Raw genomic sequence first — 11,294 nt, 5'->3', positions numbered from 1 at the left:
ATGGAATCTTTATGGAACCAAAAAGAATAATGGGATACTCTTTCATTGACTGGGGCCTTTGGGAGTATAAATCCCAAAGTTGCAATTAATGCCCTTCAAGTTGTCCTGGTGTGGTGTTCTCAGTACAAAACTCTTCACAGAAATATCTTCAGTATGATGTTATAGTCTTACTGTGATGACAGTGAATTTATCACTTACAAATATGGGAAAAGATGCTGTGAGTTATATTTACAATAAAGGGAATGGGTTTTACTGAGCCATGTGATTTTTTTTCAGTTTTCCATGGGGCTAAGGGTAAAATTTACAAGACAACTGGAAAAAAGGAGTGATTTCAGAGCCATTCAACTGAAAAACTAGAATACATAAAGACTAAACTGTATATCTATTCCTTACTAATGACGTGCTCTTTGAGACTGACCTATATTATTTATGCCATCCCAGTTGTCTTTTAAATTCAATTCCAAGATTTTTCCTGCAAAAGGTTAAAAAATATCTTGTGTTTAAAATCTCCCCTTTCCCCATCCCCTACCCCCAAGGTAGCTATATTCTACTCTCCACTTGCATGAGTTTATCTTTTTTAGATTCCACATATGAGTGAGATCACGTGGTATTTGTCTTTCTGTGTCTGGCTTCTTTCACTTTGCATAATGTCCTGCAGGTTCATGAATGTTGTTGAAAAGACAGAATTTCCTTTTTTCTTTAAGGCTGGATAGTATTCCATTTTATATAGATAATGTGGCTCATATATATCACATTATATCCCTTTTATATATTTATCTGTTTATCCATTGATGGGCATTTAAGTTCCTTCCATATCTCAGCTATTGTGAATAATGCTACAATGAACATGGTAGTGCAAATATCTGTAGTGAATTCTTATGATTTTATGTTGCCTCAGTGTTTATTTTCAATATAAGTTGAACTTTCTCATACCAGAAGCAGGGCTTAGTCACCCTTAACACAATTTCGAGTTCTCCTCTCCCAGTTTCTTCAGGTGGTCAATCCAGATATTTGGCCTCTTGGTTTCCACCTTCCTGTGGAGCACCTAGATACAACCTGTTTGACTTATCCCACTGATCCCCACACCCCACATGGACTGCAGACTTGCAGTAGTGAACACCTCTCAATACAACATAACTCCCAAGAACTCATGCCTGCTTGCTTTAAACCCAGCAATCAGTTACTCCCTGCTTAGGAAATGCTGTGTACCCCAGTAAAGGCTTCGGCCTTCTCGGCTGTCACTCACTCTCCCTTGCTACCCACCCACTGGTTGAGCATGCATGTCTCTGAGGGCTGCCCCTTCTCCCGTTAGGCCTGTGAGGAAAGTTTCCTTCTTCTCTCTGGATCTTTAAGTAATAAAACTACTTCTATTACGTGTTTTTTTTTACTTGCGTCTCGCGTGACTGACATACGTGAAATTAACTTCTTTTCTGGACAAGGCTCTCTTAAAGAGTGGTTATCTTGGTAGGAATGAACTGGACACACTAGTCAGACAAGAGCCACAAGGGTGTCTGCCAGTGAAAATGAGTTTCCAGTGAGAGGGACACCTGGTCATAAATAGGACAATTAGGCATTAGCTCTCCATCAGGATATAGAAGTATTCCACGAAAAAAACACTGAAAACATCCACAACCACAACCACCTCCACTGGAGCCCATCAGAGCAGGGCTAGAGTTTCTGGCTCCTCTTCAAAGAGAGACGTTAAGACCAAATTAGAGGAAAATCTACCAATATATTTTTAACATATTAATTTCAATCTCTTTGGCTATGTACTCAGAAATATAGTTGCTGGATCATATGGTAATTCTATCTTTTTTTGAGGAACCTCCATGCTGATTTCAATAATGGCTGTATTAATTTACATTACTACCATTAGTATATAAGGATTCCCTTCTCCACATCCTTGCTAATACTTATTAACTCTTATTTTATTGATATAGCCATTCTAACAGGTATGAGGTGATATCTTATTGTGGTTTTAATTTGTATTTCCTTGATGTTGAGAAATTTTGTTATGTATCTGTTAGTCTTTTATGTCATCTTTTGAAAGATGTCCATTAAGTGTTTTGCTCAGTTTTAAAAGGGGTTCTTTGTTTTCTTGCTAACAAATTTAAGTTGTTTGCATTTCTTACATATTTTGGATATTAGCCATGTATGGTTTGTAAATATTTTCTCCCAGTCCATGGGTTGTCTCTTCAATCCGTTATTTACTTTGTTATACAGAAGGTTTTTGGTTTGAGGTAATCCCATTTGTCTATTTCTGCTTTGGTTTCCTGTGCTATTGAGATCATCACCAATAAATTATTGCCAAGATTAATTTCAAGAACATTTTTCCCTATGTTTTCTTCTAGTAATTTTACATTTTCTGGTCACACATTTAAATCTTTAAACCATTTTTAGAGGATTTTTGCATATGGTGTGAAATAAGGTTTCAATTTCATTGTTCTGTATTTGGGTATTTGATTTTCCCAGCATCATTTATTAAAGATACTGCCCTTTCTCCATAGTGTGTTCATTCTTGGCATCTTTGGCAAAAATCAGTTAACCACAAATGCATGAGTTTATCTCTGGGCTCTCTATCACATTACATTGGTCCGTGTGTCTGTTGTTATGCCACTACCTTTCTGTTTTGAATACTATAACTGTGTAATATATTTTGAAACAGGTAGTGTGATGCCTCCAGCTTTGCTCTTTTTGCTCAAAAGTGCTTCAGCTACTTAGGGGTTTTTGTCATTCCATATGAATTTTTAAATTGCTTTTTCTATTTCTGTGAAACAAAAAAGTCATTGAACTTTTATAGAAATTGCACTGAATCTGTGTATCACTTTAGGTAGTACACATATTTTAATAATATTAATTCTTCCAAACCATGAATGCAAAATCCATCATATTCTGGGTTTTTGTTTGGTAGAAGACTTTTATTACTGATTCAACCTCCTTACTCATTATTAGTCTGTTCAGATTTTCTGTTTTTTTCATGATTCATTTTTGTTATGTTTCTAGAAATTTAACCATTTCTTCTAGGTTACCCTATTCGTTGGTGTAAAATTGTTCATAGTATTCTTTTATGAGCTTTTGTACTTCTGTAGTATCAATTGTAATGTCTCCTCTTTCATTTTTGACTTTATTAGAGTCTTCTTTTCTTCTTAGTTGGTCTACTCAAGTTTTGCCAATTGTTTTTATCTTTTCAAAAATTCAAGTCTTAGTTTTGTGAATGCATTCTATTGTTTTCTAGCTTCTTATTTATTTCTGCTCTGATCTTTGTTATTTCCTTCCTTCTGCTAACTTTGGGATTAGTTTGCTCTTCTCTTTTTCTGGTTTCTTGAAATGTAACATTAGGTTGTTTGGGATCTTTCTTCTTTTTTAATATAGGCATTTATTACTACAAACATTCCTCTTGCTAATATCTTCTTTTGCTACATGCCATAAGTTGTGGTATGTTGTGTTTTCATTTTCATCTGTCTTAAGATTTTTTTTAATTTTGCTTTTGATTTTTTATTTAACCCATTGTTTATTCAGGAGCATGTTGTTTAATTTCCACGTTTGTAAATATTTTAAATTTTCTCCTATTATTCACTTCTACTTTCATAACTTTGTGGTCAGAAAAGATACTTGATATGATTTCGATCTTCTTAAAACTGTGGAGACTTATTTTGTTCCCTAATATTTGATCCTGGATAATGTCCCATTTGCACTTGAGAAGAATGAGTATTCTGTTGCTGTTGGATGGAATGTTCTATATATGTCTGTTAGGTCCATTTGATCTAATGTGCGTTTCAAGTCCAGTGTTTCCTTATTGATTTCTGTCTAGATGACATGTTCATTGTTGAAAGTGAAGTGTTGAAAAACCCTGCTATTACTGTATTGCAGTCTGTTTCTTTTTAGGTCTATTAATACTTTCTTTATACATTTAGATGATCTAGTATTAGGTGTATATATATTTACAATTGTTACGTCCTTTTGATGAATTGACCCTTTTATCATGTAATGACTTTCTCTGTCTCTTTTTACAGTTTTGGACTTAAAGTCTGTCTAATATAAGTAGAGCTACCCCTGCTGTCTTTTGGTTTCTACTTGCATGAAATATTTTTTTCAGTCAATGTGTGTTCTTTAAGTTAAAGTTAGCCTCTTACAGGCAGCCTATGTTTGAGTATTGTTTTTCAGTTTTTTCCCAAAGCAAATCATTTTAGTAGGTTGTCAAATATACAATTATTGGAAATATCTAAATATTACCTGTAAAAATCAGCATATCACATTAGATAATTCTATAAAGTAAGAAAACACAAATCACACATTGCCAATAACCGCTGCAGTCCAAGAATATCCTCCTGTCAATAGTACAAATTACAAACACATTTTTAAAACTAAAGATGTTATTTAGACATTTAAACCAAAGTAACCATGACTAGCCTAAATACATTCATTCATCAAGTACAATAAATTTAGCATTGCTACTTACAGTCACTAATAACACAATTTTAGGTGCAATTTTACCTAAAATTTCATAAATTTTCCAATACAGTTCCAATAGTAAAGTGTCTTTGTGCATGCCATTTCCATTTATATGTGGGTGCATCATATATCAGACTTAAGGCTATTTCACCTCATTATTAAATTGTTCATAAATATATAAAGAAAGTGAACACCAGGCCAAAATTTAATCCCAATGATAAAAAAATATATATATATATATAATATATATAAAATATATATATTATTAAAAAGTCAGGAAACAACTGTGAGCCAAAATAAACCTTTTTTCTTTGTAAATTACCCAGTCTTAGGTATTCCTTTATAGCAATGCAAATGGATGAATGCAGAAACAAAGGATCGGTCTGCATTTCTTAACTTCAGAAACTACAGTCTTTGTAGTTTCCTTTGTAGTACCTTTGTAAAGACGAAGATCTTTAAATAGTTTAGTGCTTAGTGTCCTTGTTAAAGTATAACGTTATATAATGAACACCGGCTGATAAATTATTGATGCATTAACTGGCAACATTTCAAAAAAAATTCAAACTCGAAATCTCAGTTTAGAATCTTCCAAGTGAATGAGAACCCCTAACTCTGTTCAGGTCAAATGTTGCCCCCTCACAGAAACTGACTGACCATGCTGTCTAAAGTAACAGCCTCAGCTAATTTTGATTCTCTTACCCTGCTTTCTTTTTCTTCATAGCATTTATCACTATCTGACATTGTATTATATATCTATTTACTTATTATTAGTTTTCTATCTCCTTACTAGTATGTAAGCTTCATTAGAACAGAGACTTTATTTCTTTTGATTATCAATATATCTCCTGTGCACATGACAGTGCCTGACACTTATCACCATGACATAAAGATTTATTGAGTAAATGATTAAATGGTTTGTTTCCATGTTCATGTTCCAACCAGACACATAGGCAGGTATTGTGGCTTATCTCTGAAGTCCTTGGCACTGGCTGGCTGGCATAGAACCTTGCAAACAATGAATAAATAAATTACCCTGATCGATCAGTGTGCCTGGATAGAGAAGACATGTAGCAATGCTGCACCCCTGGATGTGCTATTAATACAATTATACAGCATGGAATACTATGTAGCCATAAAAAAGAATGAGTTCACGTCCTTTGCAGGGATACGGATGAAGCTGGAAGCCATCATTCTCAGCAAACTAACACAGGAACAGAAAACCAAACACCTCATGTTCTCACTCATAAGTGAGAGTTGAACAATGAGCACACATGGACACAGGGAGGGGAACTTTACACACCGGGGCCTGTCAGGGGGTGGGGGGCAAGGGGAGGGAGAGCATTAGGACAAATACCTAATGCATGCAGGGCTTAAAGATGACAGGTTGATAGGTGCAGCAAACCATTATGGCACATGTATACCTATGTAACAAACCTGCACGTTCTACACATATATCCCAGAACTTAAAGTAAAATAAAAATAATAATAATTTATAAAATACACTTAAAATTTTTTTTTAACCAAGATTGTTCTCTTGAGGTTAACTTATTACTACTTTGAGTTGCCAGGAGTGATTGCACATTTCTTGGGAATCCCTAAGTCACCAAGAATAAAGACCACTTGTAATAACTAAGGCATATTCAACAATAAAATTCTAGAGATTCGGGATATTTGATATTTGCTTGTAACATTTCACTTTTTAGCTTTTATTCATTTAATAAATGTTTTCTTTATCATCTTGTATACTCATGAACAGTTTTAAGTGTCCATTCAAATCATTTCATTGGGAAAAAAAAAGTCAGGAAACAACAGATGTTGGCAATGCTGGGGAGAAATAGGAACACTTTTACACTGTTAGTGGAAATGTAAATTAGTTCAGCCATTGTGGAAGACAGTGTGGCGATTTCTCAAAGATCTAGAGCCAGAAATACTATTTAACCCAGCAATCACATTACTGGGTATATACTCAAAGGATTATAAATAATTCTACTATAAAGACACATGCACACATATGTTTATTGCAGCACCATTTACAACAGCTAAGACTTGGAACCAACCCAAATGCCCATCAGTGACAGACTGGATAAAGAAAATGTGGTACATATACACCATGTAGCCATAGAAAAGAATGAGTTCATGTCCTTTGCCGGGACATGGATGAAGCTGGAAACCATCATTCTCAGCAAACTAACACGGGAACAGAAATCCAAACACCACACGTTCTCACTCATAAGTGGGAGTTGAAAATAAGAACACGTGGACACAGGAAGGGGAACATCACACACTGGGGCCTGTTGAAGGGTGGCGGCACAGGGAGGAGAGCGTTAGGACAAATACCTAATGCATGAGGGGCTTAAAACCTAAATGACAGGTTGATAGGTGCAGCAAACCACCATGGCACATATATACCTATGTAACAATACTGCATGTTCTGCACATGTATCCCAGAACTTAAGGTAAAATTTTTTTAAAAAAGTAAAACCACAAAAAATAAAATAACTTTTCTATTATAATCCAAGCACAACAAATTGTATTTGAAAACTAATTACAAATATATATTACATATAGAAAGTATGTATATATGTCTATTAAACTTATATATAAATTATTAGCTACAACAGATGTCATATAGTTACAAAAATCACAGGCTAAGAAAATGTCCTAATTTAGAAAATGATCATATTCTACACAAAAAGAAAAATGAGGAAAAATAGATACATTAAAATACGAGCACATTAGTTTCCTTAAGATTATATCTAGGCTGATGCTCAATTCAATTACAACTTCTTTATTTTACTAAGATCTTAGGATAAGCACTTATTAAGTCACATATTAAGTCATAACTTGCATAAATCAGCTTTTTTTTTTTGGAGATGGAGTTTCGCTTTTGTTGCCCAGGCTGGAGGGCAATGACTTATCTTGTCTCCCCAGGTTCTAGCGATTCTCCTGTCCCGCCTCTGCCTCCCGAGTAGCTGAGATTACAAGCACCCACCACCATGCCCAGCTAATTTTTTGTATTTTTAGTAGACACTAGGTTTCACCATGTTGGCCAGGCTGGTCTTGAACTCCTGACCTCAGGTGATCCGTCCGCTTCGGCCTCCCAAAGTGCTGGGATTACAGGCGTGAGCCACCGCCCCAGCCCTCAGCTGCTTCTTTCAAAAACTATTCCCCCTATTGCAATTTCATGTAATTTCTGTGTGTTCTGACCCAGTGAATTAATGCTAACCTTAAATTTCAATGTGTATATTAATATGTTAAGTGACTTTGTATGACATAATTTTTAACCTACAGATCTCTGGTAGCTTTAGTTTACAAACACTTATTACTAAAATCAGTGAAAATAGAAATATCATTTTTCCCTATACGCCATCATAGGACTCCCTATTTGACCTTGCAACTATTTAAAAGGAATTTGGGGCTATAAGTTCATTAAACCTTGTGCTTTCCTAATTAAACAACTTTAAATTTATTTTTCATTGTTTATTTTTGTTACTCTAATCTTCACCCTAGTTTTAGAATTTGTGAACGACATATGTGGTAGTATTATGCAACCAGCCCAGTTAGGAATAGAGTTGACTTATTGACTCTCTGGACATAATGACCAATTAAACTTGAGGGACTCTAGAATCTCTAGGGCTAAAAAGAGGACACAGAATTGTGTGAGTGGTACTCCCTTAATAAATATTGGTTGGCTTTATTTAAAGGCATAACTTTCTTTCCATGACACTTCCAATGTTGTTGATGTCTATAAAGTCAACTTCTCGTTGTAGAAATCCACTAGGAACCTGGTGAGGAGAGCCCATGTCAGTCAAAAATGCCCCAATGACTGAAGACACACTAACTATACACATTTTCCTCTCCTCATAAGTATTTTTCTCACATGTTCTTGATGCAGTCCAGGTTTCATGCTAATTTCATTCTTGGTCAGTGGGCAAAAGGTAGTTGAGTTAGAATGTCGTAAAGATTGAAAATTCAAAAACTCAACTGCATTTATTAATCTGTCTTTGAACCAGACTTCCTTTGAAACACAGCACAAAGAAAGGCGTGAATATCTCTTGGACATTTAGAAAAAAGGTGAGTGGCGTCTAATACAGTGTATTATATTACCATGAGTGGGAAGGATCTCTCAAGAACATCTCACCTACATCCCTGCCTCTGAGTTGCATCATGTTAAATAATCAGAATGCCCAATTTGTTTCCTGGGAACTTTGAAATTAATATGAAGTATTTTCAGTGATTCCAAAAATCCTTCGTATCCTTTCACCCTTTTGAATGGTTTGCTCATTATATCTCCGTACATAAAAACGGTCAGTGGGATTTAAGATTTCTTTTGATTCATGTAGAAAATAGAAATAGGACAAAAAGTCAACGTGACAGTGGAATCAACATGTTCTTGTCAAGAGGTAAGTTCATTTTCTGATAACGTAAAAGAGAAATTGGCGCCATATAAAATATGAAGAAAATAAGAGAAATTATCAGTGCCATATAAAATGTGAAGAGAAGAGGACGTGAAAAAATAGGAGTAGAAAATAACAGCTACTGAATAGGGTCCTCTTTTATTCCATGCCCTTTAGATAACCAGATATCACCTACTACATTGATTTAACTTCCATTTACTGGAAAACTATGTACTCAGTATATTATGCTAGAAACAAAGACAAAGTGATAATATGAAATTCAATAATTTCATGTTATAATATTATGAAATTATAACAATCACTTGAACCACCAATAGTAAATTTTCTGTTTTCTCATATACAAGACAAGCTGAGATAATGATATAGTATTACTATTAATGACTTATTAGTGATTAGTATTAATGATACTGCTATTGATATCAAGCTCACATTCATTAAATGCTTAGTATGCTTGGGACAGGGTCCTAAGTTCAGATGTGTATACATTGTCTCACTTGAGCTTCACAATACTCTCTTTTTATCAAGTCAGAGATTGTTTTTTAATGTAGCACAAGAATGTTCATTCATTGCCCAGGATCACACAATCCAGTAATAAAACCCTGGCAGATTCTGGCTCCAGAGGCACTGTACCTAACAGCTAACCTTTAACAGTGATTTTTTTTAATGCTACTAAGTAGGAAGACAATGTGATACTTTCTTCTTGTTTTTATTTGTGTTTCTTCAATAATGAAAAAGTTATAATCTTTTATACTTTCACTGTCATTTTATGTTGTTTTCTTCCCCAAACTGCTTATTTATGTCCATTGCTCATTTTTTTCCATTGGACTTTTGATCTTTTTCTATTTATTATGTAATAATTATTTATATTTTAATATAATAACCATTTTTTCCATAAACATTGTATATTTTTCTATCTTGCCATTTATGTTTTATCTTTCTGTGTAGTCTTTTTCTGATATAAAAAATTGTATTAATGAGTAAAAATTGTATATATTTATAGTGTACAACATGATGTTTTGATATATGTGTACATTATAAAGTGGCTAAATCAAGTTATCTAATGTATGTATTACCTTACATATTTATCATTTTGTAAATTTACATGGACATTCAAAAAAGCCTAATCTCATATTCTCTTCTATTTTTCAACCAAAGGTGTATTACTGTTATTTGCCAAAAAATAATGTGTATCTATAGCTAAAAAAAATCATATATAATGGAAGAAGTTAAAAATCTCAAGGTCATCTCTGTTCATTTTCATTTATTCATTCCATTATCAAATTATACTTTATATATCAGTGTTTTTACTCTGGAAAAGTTATCTTATTCTGTGGTAAATTGTGTCAATACTTATTTTCTCTTCTCTCTTCAGTCTATCTTTCTATTTTTATGCTTGCAAATTCAAATGGTGTAAACCACCTCGATGACATTTCATTTAAACATGCAAAGTAGACTGAAGAAACTTAGGTGCACTTAGGTAATATAACTAAATAACTGATGACTTTTACAGACTGAAGAAAATCAACTTGAATATATGACTTTTGGTTTGTTTCTATTTTAATTTATGACCACTTTTGTGCTGTATGCAGTCATTCTTATTGTACTATCTGTGTATTTAGGGGGAAATACGGTATAAAAGAAAGAATGATCTTTAAATCCTAGGTGTTAGTCTTGACCTCACCAATAATGAGTGTGCAAATTATTTATTCTTACTGAATCACAGAAGCAATAAAATGCAAACCATGACTGTGAGGGGTTTGATGAGAATTACAAAGAATGTATTTCACACACTGAGCAGTTTCTGGCACATGTTAAGTAAAGCAACAATTATGTTATCAGTTTTGCTATTTTAATTAAGGTATTTGCAGATGGGGAGATGACATCTGTGGTCATTACTATATATCACAAGTAGCCATAATTTTATTACTAATACCCACGGTAGTTCTTTGTGGAAATGGACCTACATGCATGGCATTTAGGAGACAGACACAACTCAAAAAAACACGTAAAGATGTTACTAAAAGAAGCAAAATTTCTTTAGATCAATTGCAGATTTAGATTCAACTCTTATACCCTCTATATTACTCAGCATTTTCAGGCCAAATTTAAAATAATTGGAGTAAAAGTAATATTTCTTTCTAAACTGTTTATTAAGATAGGTTAGGAGGTAAGAAGAGGAGAGAACATAAAATGCATTGAGAACTCACAATTTTCCATGTGTTATGCATATGTTACATACTTTATGTCATTTAAATGTAATGATTTTCTTTAAAGTAATTTAAACACTACTGAAAACACAGGAACTACTTTTAAGCTTAAACATAACCATATTATACTTTACAAGGGCTTTATCCACTTGACTGTAAATTGTATTTGATGCTGAGCTATTCATTAAATTTAATTCAGCTCCAGTAAGAGTATTCA

This window comes from Homo sapiens, chromosome 6 (assembly GCF_000001405.40).
Source record: "Homo sapiens chromosome 6, GRCh38.p14 Primary Assembly".
NCBI lineage: Eukaryota > Metazoa > Chordata > Mammalia > Primates > Hominidae > Homo > Homo sapiens.
The sequence above is the reverse complement of the archived record's forward strand: the minus strand, read 5'-3'. Positions refer to the sequence as shown.